The 16,045-nt window shown below is 40.7% G+C and overlaps 1 protein-coding gene across 9 annotated transcripts in view, besides 2 other annotated features; it reads left to right on the plus strand.

Moving 5' to 3' along the window:
* The window catches only part of SGCD (sarcoglycan delta), a 1,039,957-nt gene that overhangs the window by 669,839 nt on the left and 354,073 nt on the right, over window positions 1–16,045 (plus strand). The gene's annotated exons all lie outside the window — the stretch shown is intronic.
* Window positions 4,829–5,168: an enhancer, noted in NCBI's record as "active region_23493". NCBI's record gives its function as "activates an Ori minimal core promoter by ATAC-STARR-seq in GM12878 lymphoblastoid cells {active_cell/tissue: GM12878}" and the evidence as "EXISTENCE:reporter gene assay evidence [ECO:0000049][PMID:35858748]".
* Window positions 12,800–13,301: an enhancer, noted in NCBI's record as "NANOG hESC enhancer chr5:155837480-155837981 (GRCh37/hg19 assembly coordinates)". NCBI's record gives its function as "activates a minimal SCP1, AML or CMV promoter by ChIP-STARR-seq in naive H9 embryonic stem cells {active_cell/tissue: H9 hESC(naive)}" and the evidence as "EXISTENCE:reporter gene assay evidence [ECO:0000049][PMID:30033119]".

A 16,045-nucleotide genomic window follows, 5' to 3' on the forward strand; every position in this document is an offset into this window, starting at 1 on the left:
CGAGCAGCTTAGAGTCTATGGAGAGACAAGTCTTAAATGTACAAGTTAACCAGCCACGCGGAGCCCTCCTCAAAGCAGTACATAAGTCATTGCTAAACAAGTGACTGAAATTTTAAATGCCGAGTTCCAAGGAAGCAGGGTAAAATGATTTTTGACAGCTCCCAACCAAGAGCAGGCACAAATTTGATGGGTTTCTGGGCAAAAGGATCTGTTGTTCTCCATCTCTCTTGCCTATTGAAAAACGGGTTTGAATCTGTCCTGAGGCTGATAAAGAGGCAGGATTTATTAACATAGGGCCCTTTGCTTCTGGGTCAGCATCCAAACCTTTTTAACCCCTTTATACAAGTGTTCCAGGGAATTTGAAAGCTGTCCCTATGGGCTGGATACATCTCCCCTGAGGCGCTGCCTGAAGTTCCCTCATTGGTTATTCTTTCTGCTTAGGCATTGGCCTTTGGTTTAACATGCAGATGTGTCATCTGCGAGACCTGACAGTCTGAAGTGATAGAGTTGTGGGTATTATTCACATGCAAGTGTTAATCAGAGTAATATTATCATCCAGCTAAGCTCTAAGAGAAAGTGCAGTTAAGTTTTACTTGAAGGGAAAAAGCAGTGGAAAACCCGGAATGAAGAAATGAGTGGGCAGAAAGAGCCTCCCTCTAGGTTTGTTGAGGAATCTATTTAGAATCAGAAAGGCCTGTTGGGGGAATGTTCTGAACATCTGATGGACAATTGAATGAAATGATCTATTAGTTTTTACCCAGCTCTAGTATTTTATTACTAAGATTGTTGGGAGGGGAGCAGATGATAAAGGATCCTAGAAAACAAACTTCTTTCTTTATAGTTATGCATGGTAAAGCTGGCTATTCACCAAAATAATAGGTGCCTTCCTGCCATAATGTGGAGTTGTTGCTGGCAGGTGGTTACACACCCAGAGACTACATTTCCCAGCCTCTCTTGCATTCAGATGTGACCAAGTGCATAGTTCTCACTCATGTAATATAAATGGAAATAATACATACCACTTACATGCCTGGCCCATAAAATTGCCTTACCTGTACTTCCCCATGCTCTTTTTCTCTTCAAACTTAACTGGACAGAGGACTTCTAGGGTAACCTTGAACATCATATATTGAGGGTGGCAGAGCCCCCATTAGCTTGGATCCTATACCTCTTTGGGTATATTGTCTAATATGGTAGGCACTAGATGCATGTGGCTGTTTAATTAATATTAAACTCCAGTTCCTCAGTCATCCTAGGCATTTTGTAAGTGCTCAATAGCCACATGCATGCAACTAAGTGGCTACCATATTAGATAGCGCAGATGTAGAACATTTCCATTATTTCAGAAAGTTCTATTGGATTGCTATGCTCCATTGTATATGAGTTTTCATGTGATTTAAAATTTATTGTTGTAATAGTTGATCTATTAATATTACTATTAATACAGAGATAAGTACAAGATTGACAGAGGCTTTGCTGACCCTCAAAAGACAAATATTTGCTGGGAGACTACTTTGTGTTAGTAGTCTTCTAGAGTTTGGGAATTTGTCAGTAAATACAACAGAAAATTTTCCATACTCAAAGAGCTCATTGTTATAGGCCATGTGACTTAGCTATAGGATTTCTCAAGGTGCAAATTTAGGCAAATCCAGGATTTTTGAATCCATTATAGCAGCAATATTCTCTATAACCTGTTTTTCAAATTTCAGCTACATTCTGAGCAGCAGGTCCACCAAACCAGAAGCCTGCCTTTAGGAGTCCAAAAGATCAGAGGACCTAAGAGAAAATAGTTCTGTCTGTGAGGATATCCAGTGTGGCTTTACTGGCCAGCTTCCTTGATGACCATGACCTTTCCAGGGCTCTTGTACTTGGGGCTTCCCGAAAGTGTGTCTGAGTGCAGTAGTCTTTTTATATCTGCTGGAGGCAGATGCTTTAGTTCCCTTAGTTAAGACAACGAAGACAAGAGAAAGATGAAAATGGCTTGCAAAGCAGATTAATGACCCAATTAATGCTGAATTGTCCATTTCCCTTGTTAATGTGCCCTGCCTTCTCCCTACACTGTGTGGACTTCACACATAACATTCTCTACACGTTCATTGTTTATCTTTCTTCCTTACTGGACTGTACATCCTAGAGAAGAAGGGATTATGTCTGTCATATCTAACGTCGTATTTCTGGGGCCTGGAACATAGCAGAATATAAGAAATATTTGTTCCTGTCACTATATATTGACAATCATGTGATGAAAATATTTTTGCTTTTCCATAATCTGGTACAGCAATTTCTAATGTGTACCTCATGAAAGTTAATAGGTATTCCATAGAGTCTATGGAAGTTAATAGATGTTACATGAAATGGGGTGAGGAGGGTAAGTAAGGCTGCTTTAAATAAGCATGTTTCATTGCTGCAGGCCTTTCTGAACCACTCCTGTGGTAATACAGTGGTTCTCCAGCTTCAGTGAGCATCAGACTCACCTGGAAGGCTGTGAAAACACACATTACTGGACTCTGTCCCCAGAATTTCTGGTTCAATACTCTTGGTGTGGGCCTGGGAATTTGCATTTTAACAAGTTCCCAAGTAATGCTGCTGCTATTGGTGAGAGCCAGCATGGAGATATGTTATTGACACTTGGAGAAAATATACAGTTTCCATCATTTCCCAAAAGTGCTTGACTAAAGGTCTTATTAAACCTATAGTCCTGTCTGACTTGAGGATATGATGACCTACTTTAAACTCAAGTGCCAAGGAATTATAAATTAATGCATCCACATTTTAAAGGGGACATCTGGACAGATAACTACTGAAGCACAAATAATGTGTTGCTACTAATAGAATTTAGACTTCATTACAGAATAATAAGGACAAAAGTTTTGGGTGGAGTATTAAAAAGAAAGATCACCTACTCCTACTAGTTGTAAAATGAATTTGAACACAACTTATATTGCCTGGAAAAGAACAGTTTATGTATGAAATCATTGAAATTACTATTGTTTAAAGCAATTCTTATGCTTTGTATCTGCAGCTGTTCTAGTTTAAACACACATTGCTTGGCCCTGACAACATGCAGCTTTTTACTTCTTGGACTCTCCTATGATTTGAAATGTGTTATTCATAAGTTTGCTAAATTCCAAATATTTGAAAGAACAGATGTGGACCTAAAGGAATAATCAGCTCTTGCTGATATTGCTCCAAAAGGCAATATATAGAGTTGCATTAGAATGAAGAACTGCATTTGGCTCTTATGTTTTGAGATGTTGGAATGGCAGAGTGTCTGTAGGATAACCCAGTGTTGCATGCCATTTTATGCTTATAAGAGTGTTAATCATTCAGCTCAATGCTGATTAACCTCCTAGACACTGCAGATAATATACAAAATATAAGACATATTTCTTGCCCTCACGGAGCTTATAAGCTAATCTGGGAAGCAAGACATACACATGAAGTGATTAGAGCAGAGGTTTCCAAATTGCACAGTAACTTAAGAGAATATGCAAACAGAAATTGAGATTCCCAGGACCCATGTTAGTCCTATTAAAGCAGCTATGGAAAGGGCAGCTATGAAAAGCAAAGAATATGTATTTTTAATAAGTTCCCCAATTGAGGCTGATGACGAGACAGAGCTGGAACCCATGGGCTATATTAACAATTATTGGATAGTAAAAGGTGCTCTATCATTCAGTGTTACAATAAACTTTTCTTAATCCAGACAACATCTTCTGTATTCATTCAACAAGGTAGGTAGAGTCTGTACTATTTCATCTTGTTCTTTCATTGGCAAAGCCATGAAGGGCCCTAATTAGCCTAATTACAGAGGGCTGCCTAGTGTAGAGAGCTGCCATGCAGTTAAGAGATAATGAATACATTGTCAAAAAGAAGATACTGTGACAAAGAAAGCCACAGGTGGTAGCATTTTACAACATTGGACCATAGTTGGTTAATTAGATATTTATTGAGAACTCACTATGTGCCAGGCACTGTGCAAGGTACTGGGGATATGATAAGCAAACCAAGTGGCCTCAACATTCATAGCCCCTACAGTCTAGTGAAGATACACATAGGAAATAAGTAGTCATGGTCTTTTCCCTCTTTTTAAAAAAAATTTTCATAAACTATACATAAATTCATGATTTTAACCATTTTCAAGTATATAGTTCAAGCGACATTAAGTACATGCATATTATTGTCCAACCATCATCATCATCCATCTCCAAAACTTTTTCATCATCTCAAGCTGAAACTCTGTTCCCATTACATAATAACTCCCACAAAACCTGGCAACCAGCAATCTGCTTTCTGGTTGTATGGGTTTGACTACTCTGCCGACCTCATTTGAGTGAAATCATGCAGTATTTGCATTTTTGTGTCTGGCTTATTTCACTTAACATAATGTCATGAAGGTTTATCCGTGTTGTAGTATGTATCAAAATTTCACTCCTTTCATACTGAATAGTGTTCCATTGTACGTAGACACAACATTTTGTTTATCCTTTCATCTATCAATGGACATTTAGCTGTTTCCACCTTTTGTCTGTTGTGCATCATGTTGCTATGAACATTCATGCACAAATATCTGTTGGAGTCCCTGTTTTCCATTATTTTGGGTATATCCCTAAAAGTGGTATTATTGACAGTGAGTATGAGACCTTGGTTCTTATCTTCTTAGTTAAAATAATGTAAGCAAGAGACACACAGCAAAGGACATATGGCATAGAGCAATTTTTTGCAAAAGAGAATGCACACTCTGAAGGTTACGTGCAAAAGAGAAAGTATACTCTGAGAGATGATTCAGCGCAGACTGCTCGAAATGAGACAGCGTTGCCTGTTACTGGGGAAACTCCCTTTATAGGAGTTTTACATAATTATTCAGAAGGGGGTGGGAAGAGGTATTACCAGTAAGCATGTTCTGGGTGGCCCTCTAGGTGCACATGTGCAGTAGCTCTACTTGCTTGTTCATACATGCATGAACTTGCAAGAATGCTTGCATGTCTTGTTAACATCTTAAATCTCCACCCAGGGGTGTGTTTTTACTATTATAATAATCAAAGGGTCAGTCTGAAGACAAGTAATCAAAATGTGCATGCTCTCTGCAGGGGAAAGTCCCCACTGAAGCTAGTTCTACTTGGACGAGCTTGACTGAAATGTGAGCACTAGGGCTCTTTGTGTTGATGCGGTCACCATGGTTACCGCGTTCCCCAAAGACATGGTTACTTCCTTGACTACCTATCCTGCCTCAGTATTGCTGGATCATATGGTAATTCTACATTTAATTTTTTGAAGAACTGCCGTACTGATTTCCCCAGCAGTTATACCATTTGATAGCCGCGGTCTTTTGGCAAGATAGCAGAAGTTAGGTATTATTCCTATGAGGAGTTTATGTTTATCCTAATTGTTTCAGAAACATTAAGGTTGACTACTTCGGGGCCACATTGCGGCCCCAGGTCCCAAATCCACATCTCCTCCAACCCACCCTGCCGCCTTTTCCTGTCTGTCCTTCCATCCATCCTCCCCAGTGAGGAAAAGTCACAGCAGTGCACTTCAGCTTTCAGAGTAAAAGATCAAGACAAGCCCAGGATCAGGTGGCCTGTAATGTGTTCCTTAGAATCACAATTTCTCCATTCCTGGTACAGTTTTCTGTAATTCTGTTGCCATACCCCAAAGGAAAAGCTTTGCTTTTAGAGAACTCGCGGTCTATTAAGGTTGAGCAAAGGCCTTGGGCATAGGCACTGGGGAGTTCTAATCTCAACTCTGCTCCATATTGTGTGGCAGCCCCAGGCAGGTAATTTAACCTCCACAATTCCTCATGTTTTCTGACTCGCCGAGATGATTGTAATGACTTCCCTTTGGAGCTGCTGCTAAGGAAACTGTAATGATAGGTGGAGGAATGTTTGTGAGATTTTGCCGGACGTTCACTAGGCTGCAAAAGACTTGGACTTAACTTGCTCCCGTGTCTTTGTGTGCACATCTAGAATTGGGGTCCCTCATGCCAGTCATATCATTACTCTCAGATAAATTCCCCATTGCCTTATGAGGATTGATCTAGGCCTTGATGTTCATCACCAGCCTTTGCAGTTAAACATCTGGTTTATGGAGGGTTTTTTTTCTTTAGTTCTTTGAGAAGATAGAAAAGAACTTGGGAGAGAAGGGCATGATATTCCCTGACATATTTTTTTTTCTTTTTTTTTGAGATGGAGGCTCACTATGTCACCCATGCTGGAGTGCAGTGTGCGATCTTGGCTCACTGCAACTCCCACCTCCCAGGTTTAAGCAATTCTCTTGCCTCAGCTCCTCGAATAGCTGGGATTACAGGTGGTGCACCAACATGCCCAGCTAATGTTTGTATTTTTAGTAGAGACAAGGTTTCACCATGTTGGCCAGGCTGGTCTGGAACTCCTGACCTCAAATGATCACCTCACCTCAGCCTCCCAGAGTGCTAGAATTACAGGTGTGCACCACTGTGCCTGGCCTTCCTCACCTCTCTTTCACCCAGAATACTCAGAATTGAGCACGAATATTCTTAAGAATGTTGTTCCCATTCCCTTCATCGGCTTACCTGTATTATGTGTATATAATGTCATCTTCATAGGCATTCTCTCTATTTGTCCCATACTATCTTCGATGCAGAGCTCAATACTTCTTCATATTTGTCAGGGAAATGTCAGTCTCACAAAATATTAGAGAGAAATGCAGATTCTACTGAAGATGTCATAGGGGAGCCAGAGCAAGGGGTTCACCTCTCACCTCCTGCTGCAAATGTCTTGATTAACATTTTAATCGATGTATCTTTCTTCCTAAGTCAGTGTTTCTCTTCTGAATCACCGTGAGGGCTCCTTGCCTCTGCCTTTTACCCCTAGTACATCCAGAATATTTTGTCTTATTTCTTCCCTCCTACCTTTTAAATCTCAAATTCCTCCTCACTCCTCATGTCATACAGAGCACCTGACTGACCAGCTTCTGTCTCAAAACACTTTATATGTATACCCTTTCTCAAAATGCAATGGTAGATCATATATATTTTTTCTTTTACTGATGGAAAAAATGGGTTTGCTGTAACAACTGAGATAAATTTTATATTTCAAGAATTTTAAAATATATCCTTTAAAATATTTTGGTATGAATTTGGCACTTTATTTCTTTGGAAGATGTACATCATGGTAGACAGATATCTAAGATGGCGGTCAAGATCCTTGCTCCCTGGAGTAAATACCTTATATTCTTTCCTTTCAGTGAGGGAGAAACTTGTAAATATGATGTGATGCCACTTCTGTGATTATGTTATTGCCTAAGGGATTCTGCAGATGCAATTAAGGCTACTAATCAATTGATTTTGAGTTAATCAAAAGGGAGATTTTTCTGGGAGTCACCAGCCTAATCACATAAGCCCTTCAAATCTGGGTATAGAGGTCACAGACTAAGAAAATCAGAGAGTGGACATGTGAAAAGACACACATGGCAAAGAACTGAGGTAGCTTCTAGGACCTAAGAGTGGTCCCCAGGCACCAACTAACAAGAGAGAAAGAGCCTCCGACCTGGGGCAAAACTTTGATTTCAACCTTGTAAGACCCTCTTCAGAGCACCCAATTCTCTGTCTGGGCTTCTGAAGGACAGAAACCAGGCGATGACAAATAAATGCCACTAAACATATCATCTTCTACATAGCAATAGAAAATTATTATATGCAGTTTACTCAGAGCTTGTTTCCCTTCCATTTTGGATGGTAGAATATTCTTGCTTTTATGAAATGATCATCCTAGAAGAGGATAGGTTTTTCTATCTTAAACAAAATCTTCCTTATTTAGCAAAAAAGTTTACAAACCCATGTCAACTCTCCCTGCCTTATAGGGTTTGTTTGGGAATTTTAGTAAACAGTAAAATTGCCAAGTCTAGAAATCACAGATTGAAAATATCCCATTTCCCCATCTGTCATCTAAATTTTACTGCTCTCCCAAGCTCTCTTCAAGGAAACTTCTTCAAGGGTTTTGAGGTGTTTTCTGCCCCTGAGAAATTGTCTTCCTCTTATCAGCGAGTTCTTAAATTCTGTGCCTGAGTAGTAACTTTAATTTGTTGTCAAGATGGTTTTGAGTCCTGTGCGGTTTAGTTTCCCACTTTTTGTCTTGCCTCCCTGGCTATAGGCCTGGGGGCAGGACCACAGTTTCAAGCTCCTGAGTCTTCTGCTGAGTCTGGCCAGATACCTGAGGCCCAGTGGGTGCTCCCACATCCTTTTGAGTTGATGGATTTTACAAGGCAGGGGCCAAAACTCCCTACTAAATAATTGATCAACACGCCTCTTGGATTTTGTATCCACTCCTGTGTGTAGATATCACCTGCTGTATTTGGCCCTATCTTTGCTTAAAAAAAAAAAAAAAAGGCCTCTGGGCATAAATCCCTCTTTCAGAGAGAGAAATAATTTTAGCAGCAGCTGGTCCGTGGCATTAAAGATTGAATGACTGTAATGTGTTCAGACCATGGTTGGCTTGTTAGGAATTCTGTAAGGCAAGAAATAACCTGAGAGCCACAGACCTTGGAGACTGCACGAAAAAGATTGTTGGTGGTGATGTCCTTCCTTGAAGCATCATGTTGTAATTCCTGGGCCATTAACACAGCTACCCTTCAGTGGCTTCTCATTAACTGCAGGAGAAGCTCCAGCGTCTCTGTGTGTCACTGCCAGCTTCTCATCCCCTTCCATCCTCATTCCTGCAGCCATCCTTGTGCACTCTGTGATAAGTTTTACTCACCTACTTCTGCTCTCCTGTGCCCCTCTCCTCTCCTCTCCTCTTCTCTTTATTTTGGTGCATCCAATTCCCTCTTTTGGAGTAAATTTTCCTATAGCCTTTTCTCCAGTCTCGTTCACCCAGTGATTTCTACATGTGTCCTTCAATCCGTTCAAGTTTCACCTCCACACAGCCTTCCCTGACCTTCCCCAGGAAGTGGACTTTTTCAAAAGCACTTAGAGTGTTTTCCCTGCAGTAATCATTTTATACAAGTTCTCTTTCAGAATGCTCAAAACAGCCCGATGAGGTAGACATTATCTCTGTTTTTACAGAGGATGAAGCTAAGGTTTAAGGAAGTTAAGTTACCTGCTGTATTAGGGTTTTCTAGAGGGACAGAACTAATAGGAGATTTTATATATATATATATATATATATATATATACACACACACACACACACACACATATATATGTGTATATATATTAGTTTATTAAGTATTAACTTACATAATCACAAGGTCCCACAATAGGCTGTCTGCAAGCTTGAGGAGTGAGGAGAGCCAGTCCTAGTCTCAAAACTGAAGAACTTAGAGTCCGATGTTCAAAGGCAGGAAGCATCCAGCACGAGAGAAAGATGTAGGCTGGGAGGCTAGGCCAGTCTTGCTTTTTCACGTTTTTCTGCCTGCTTTATATTCACTGGAAGCTTATTAGATGGTGCCCACCAGATTAAGGGTGGGTCTGCCTTCCCCAGCCCACTGACTCAAATGTTAATCTCGTCTGGCAACACCCTCACAGACATACCCAGGAATAATACTTTGCATCCTTCAATCCAAGCAAGTTCACACTCAGCATTAGCCATCACACCTGCCTAAATTTTTATGGATACTAAGCCAGCACATAAGCCTGGAACTGTTATAATCGCAACCCATGCTTATGATGTCAAGGACTGTCTCTTAACCTCAGAGCTGTGGTGCTTCCTGGGCCCTCACAGTGCTTTATGCATTGTCTCTGAAGTAGCATTCTTCCTTTCCTGTTGCTGTTGAAATCTGTCTCCCTCATTGGCCTGTGAGCCTAAGCGGGGGAGGGGATCATCGTCTCTTCATCTGAACACATATCCCCAGAAACTCATAAAATGTTGAACAAACTTGAGCTTAATAAGTAAAGAATTTTTAAAAGACATTGCCAAAAGAAACAGAACTTGAAGGAAAAAAAATGTAAGGGAAATTATAATCTACTCAGTTAAATTTTCTATGGTAAGGCCATTACTGGTTTCATGAGGAGTGTCTTGAGCTTTTGTTTAATTGAAAGGAAAAGGAGATTTTCAAGGGGAAATACCACACAAAGTGGGGGAAATAAAGGAGGAAGGGGAGTAAGTCTATTTCTCTCACAGGTATATGATTGTTATTATATCAGTGGTGTTTAATTTTGCTTACTTAATGATTATTGTATAAAGTCTGCTATATGCCATTGTGGAGTGTTCAGGGGATTGGTTTTAAGACATTCCACTCCCAAAGCTCATTTTTACAAACTTGCCACCTTATGGTGTTGTCCTTAACATATGTGGAGGAGGAAGATTTTTATCCCCTAAAGTGGAGGGTGGTGGCATTTAATGCTTGGTTTCGGGAATATTCATGTCTACCTCAAAGATGGTATTATAAAGAAGGAGTAGCTGTGAAAAAGTGATATTTACATTCTCATCTTAATATTGCTGTTGAATATGTAATTTGAGATTATGAAATCATACCACATTCTACCAAAAGTTTATTACTATCCTCTTAGCTCTTTTGTCTTTTCATCTTGAAGTATGAGTGTTTCTTGAAGCTTTAAGCATTTTACAAGGGATAAGAGGACATCCAGTAACAACAAAATGAGGAAGCCACATTGCACTCCTTGGACATGTGCGTACAGGATGTGTAGTAGATACAACCCTGAAAAGCCTGGTTTAACCTAATCGGGCTCCTGTGGAGGAACCCAAGTTGGATTTTTTTTTTTTTTTTTGAGATGGAGTTTTGCTCTTGTCACCCAGGCTGGAGTGCAGTGGTGTGATCTCGGCTCACTACAACCTCTGCCTCCTGGGTTCAAGCGATTCTCCTGCCTCAGCCTCCCCAGTAGCTGGGATTACAGGCATGTGCCAACACACCCAGCTGATTTTTGTCTTTTTAGTAGAGACGGGATTTCACCAAGTTGGCCAGGCTGGTCTTGAGCTCCTGACCTCAGGTGATCCACCTACCTCCACCTCCCAAAGTGCTGGGATTACAGGCGTGAACCACCGCCCCCAGCCCCCATGTTGAATTTCATGTGCGTATCACCCCTTGTCTTCTGCCATCTTTCTCTTTGTCCCCTTTTTCCTCTGTCTTTAGTCATCCTCTCTTTCTTTCCCATTCCCGAGGATATTTTGCCTTCTTTTCCAAGGCTAAGACCTCTGTGTCTAGAAAGAAGTTGAAATTGAGAGCTCTTCAGTCAGATTTACCAGTTCCTGGTGACTTTAGGCAAGTCCCTGGGCTTCTTCAAGTCTCAGTTTTCACACCTATATAAAGGGGGGTAATAGCCCCTCTTTGCTCACAGCTGCAAGCTCTGCTGTTGTGTTTTCTCCCTAGTGAATGGGGCTTATATTCTCCTGGAAGTAGGAAGACAAAAACTAAACAGTAACATAATAAAAAATGCTTACAAAAATATACTTAACGCTTCTTCATTCTTCAAAAAGAAGTGAGTTTATTTGACTTTGACTCTGCATCTTAAGCCATACTTGCTTTTTTTTACTTTGGCTACATTGCAAAAGAAAAATAAAATCCTTATTTTCTTTCTCAGTGCCCTCACCACCCATTAATTCACTCCTTAACCTGCTACAAACCCCTTTTTTCCTTCCTTTCCTTAATTTCCAAATTCAACACCCTTTGTTCATTTTTCTTCTCTTTGATGTCTGTGTAGCATTTTAACTGCAATGGTCAAACTTCTCTGTTTTAAAATCACTATGAACATTCTTTTTGTTCTGTCCTAAAGGAGGGCTTCCTCCCTATTTTTGTTAAAGATAACGCAGTTCTTCAGATCGCCCACGCATCAGACCATATCATAAACTTTGAGTAACCCATCACTTTTATTTGCTCCATCCCAACCAATCCCCGGGCCCGGCTGGGCCCTTATTTGCAGCATACCCCTTTCCTTTCCTTGTGTTTCCTTCCCTTCTCTCGTTCTTACATTCTGTAGACAGATTAGTTGCATTGCATCTATGCCCAGCCTCAGAATAATTGTGTGGCCTTTGACAAACTACTTAGCTTGTCTGAGCTTTGGTTTCCTAATAGGTAATAGAAATAGTAATTATAATTTTTACCTCTAAAAGTTAATGTGAAGATTAAATAAAATAATGGATAAATAGTCCTATCTACTCCTATGCTAAACAGCTGACACATGGTAGCTATTAATATTATCTGCCTCACACCATCCCAGCCTCCTCATTCGGTTCTTTTTACTGGAACAAGGACCAGCAGTCATCTCATTTTAGTCCCATTATTTTTCTTTCCTCCAGTCTTCTCCATCCAATACCACAGAAACCCTGTACAAATACTAGATCAATATTACCACTGCATAGTTGGGAAGATGTATGAAGTAATATGTTACCACAAGAATACGGGCTTTGGCTTGAATTTTTATTCTGTATCTTGATAGCTGAATAATTTCAATCTGGCTTCTGAACCTCTCTGAGTTTCAGTTGCCTCATGTTGAAGATTGCAACACTATTCACAATTGCTAAGACATGGAATCAACCTAGGTGCCTATCAGTGGATTGGATAAAGAAAATATGGTATATATACACCATGGAATACTACACAGCTGTAAAAGAGAATGAAATCACATCCTTCACAGCAGCATGGATGCAGTTGGAGGTCATTATCCTAAGCAAAACATAGGAAGAGAAAACCAAATACTGCATGTTCTTACTTATAAGTGAGAGCTAAGCATTGGGTACACGTAGACATAAAGATGAGAACAATAGACACTGGGGGCTACTGGGGAGGGGGGCAAGGACTAACACCTATTTGGTACTATGCTCACTACCTGGGTGATGGGATCATTTATACCCCAAACCTCAGTGTCGTGCAATATACCCATGTAACAAACCTGCACATGTACCTTCTGAATCTAAAATGAAAGTTGGAATTATTTTTTTAAAGTTACAGCTACCATGCAGAGCTGGTGTAGGAATTAAAACTATCAAGCACCTAGCATAGTGCCTGCTACAGAGTTCCCACTCAGTAGATGGTAACAGTTGGTATTATAGCAGCCCCCTGCTCTCTTTAACCCAGCGAATGAACCTGTGAAACCTTTGATGGACAGTCAAGCTCCCCCATGGTTTAGCCTTTATCTCTGCTTCCAGCTGCCCTTGCTGTCTTCCTTGCTAGTATCCCTTACATGAGCTATTAGACCCATGAAAGGGGCCTCATTTTTCTGTCTCTGTCCTGCTGTTTTTCCCACTCCTCTTTTCTGGAATCCTAATCCTCCCTTCTTCTTCTCCCTGGACAAGATCAACTCTCACTTCATGAAATGAAAAAAAAACATACAAAGGATTTAAGATTGTTACTGGTCTAGACCTTATTATACTAGTCTGTAATTGGGAGTCTTTCACATTTATTGTATAAATGCACGACTTTAGCAAATTATGCTACAGTCTTTGGTATTATTTTAAAATCATATTGCTTTTATATGATTTGCCCCCTTGATGTTTTATTTCTTTGATGCCATGTGTTGAGCAGTTACACAGTAAAAACTCAGTAAACTCTTATTGGTGATTTTTGAGGTTGATTTTCATGGAATTCATAGCTCGTGAACCATCTGATCCTTAGGTCGCACCATTTATTTCTTGGCCTCTGCACAGAACCTTTTTCTTCAAGATGTTCCATCTGCTTTGCAGAAATTAGCTCATGAGTCATTTCCTTTCCCCACCCTCCTTGTAAACTGTAGCAGCAGAAGGGCAGCCCCTTTGGAATAAGTGGAAGTACAGGGGTCGCATGGAGCAGTAGGGAGTTCGAAGCAGGCTCAAATCTGTCAAGTCCTAGTTCAGGGTTATTATCCCCCAAAGCACTGAGAAATTAGGCAGAGACAGCTCTGTTCAGTGGAAAGAAAGTGCTTTGGAGCCAGACGTGACTGGGCTCAGATCCTGGCTCTGCCTGTTGTATGCTTTGCGATCTTTGGCAACACAGTTAACATCTCTGGGTCCTTGTTTCCTGTTCCATAAAGTGGGAATAGTAATATCTGCCTGCCAGGGCTATTGTACAATAAGATAAACAGTATGAAAAGACACTAGCATGGTACCTGGCACAGAGTATTAATTTCATAGTATTATTCTTCTGACCCAGAGAGGTTTCAGTGTCCCCCAAAGAGAACACTGCAGAAATTATTGACACATACACCAAAAACTTTGTAAATAACTTCTCAGCCACATTCGGGCCTGTTGTAAAATCATGTTTAAAAGTTAATTATTTTGTCCTTCTTGCTTAACAGGGTGGAAACTTGATAAAATACACCTGTGAGTTAGGGTTTTTGTTATTTCCTACCTGACAGCCAGAAAGAAAAGTCTGAAAATTACTTTTTTCTCTTTACTTTGAATTTTCAAGAGCTGATCAATTTTTATGTTCCCTAAAGAGGAGAATTCAATAAGGCAGTCTGGAATCCAACTAATAATTTTTAGTCGTGCATTCTAGGGTGGACCTTGATAGAATGTTTGTTCCATCTTTGTGTTTTATGTTCACTCTTTTAAACTGGGTAACTGAATGTTGAAATGTTAGCCTGGGTAAGGGTCAGAGTAGCACCTGCTTGGCCACATCCTACCTGGGTGAGACACAGCATTGCTGTAGCCTTGAGTTTCCTCATCATTCCCATTCAGGCTGGTTAGCGTGAGCCTCAGTTGACCAAACTTTCAAGAATTTCAAAGTGTAAAATTAGACCAGGTATATAAAAGTTCTTTAAAAAGCTGCAGTTGTATTTGAATACAATCAAATGGCTTTTTTCTACCTATGTTTATAAATTGGAAAATAACATAGTAATAGAAATAGCAATGGAGGGTAGCTATTTTTTGAGAATATTCTTTGTGCCCCAGGACCAAACTAATTTGAATCTCAAAAAATAAAATCCTACTGGATTAGGTTTTGGGTTTGTTTTGCCTTTTACTCATGAGGAAAAAGGGGCACAGGAAAATCAAGTTACTTTTGTCCATAGTCTTACTTGTAACAAACATAGGTGCCAGTACTCAAATGTGGAGAGGCTGTCTCCAGAGTCAAAGAACTTAGAGATCAAATAAAGAAATTGCTTACTCTAATATTCATTCCTTAATGTGGCAAATATTTATTAATCACTTATTATGTTCCAGGTGGTACAAAGCACAAGAGATGGCAGATTGAATCAGGCAGGGTTGGTTCTTTTTTTTTTTTTTTTTTTGAGACGGAGTCTCGCTCTGTCGCCCAGGCCGGACTGCGGACTGCAGTGGCGCAATCTCGGCTCACTGCAAGCTCTGCTTCCCGGGTTCACGCCATTCTCCTGCCTCAGCCTCCTGAGTAGCTGGGACTACAGGCGCCCGCCACCGCGCCCAGCTAATTTTTTTTGTATTTTTAGTAGAGACGGGGTTTCACCTTGTTAGCCAGGATGGTCTCGATCTCCTGACCTCATGATCCACCTGCCTCGGCCTCCCAAAGTGCTGGGATTACAGGCGTGAGCCACCGCGCCCGGCCGCAGGGTTGGTTCTTGTTCTCATCGAGGACACAGCCTTATAGAGTAAAATAATAAACAGGAATGATGAAATAAAATAATTGCACACTGGCAAATGCTATAACTAAAACCAGCAGGTACTGAGATGGAGAGCAAAGGGTCGGGGAAGGCCCTATTTGGATCAAATGTTCAAAGAAGGCATCCTGGGAGGAGTGACACTTATGCTGAGATGCACGAGATGAGAAGAAGATAGCCTACCACATAGGTGACATGTCAACTTAGCTGTTACATAGGGATACAGAGCTCAGAGAAGACCACGCCTAACATACTACTTTAGACTATGAAGGCATTTCACCCTCCAAACCTAGAAGGCCAAATGCAGGATGAATGGTCATGTCTTGCAGTTGAAACCTTGAACTTTGAGATAGGATCGCACTCTGTCGCCCAGGCTGGAGTGCAGTGGCAAGATCACAGCTCACTGCAGCCTCAATGTCCTGAGCACAAGCAGTTCTCCTGCCTCAGCCACCTGAGTATCTGGGACTACAGACACATGCCACCACACCTGGCTACTTTTTAATTTTTATTTTTGGGTAGAGACAGAGTCTCAGAAACCTTGAACTTTTTATAGTAGTTGTTCAATTA

This window comes from Homo sapiens, chromosome 5 (assembly GCF_000001405.40).
Source record: "Homo sapiens chromosome 5, GRCh38.p14 Primary Assembly".
Lineage (NCBI taxonomy): Eukaryota > Metazoa > Chordata > Mammalia > Primates > Hominidae > Homo > Homo sapiens.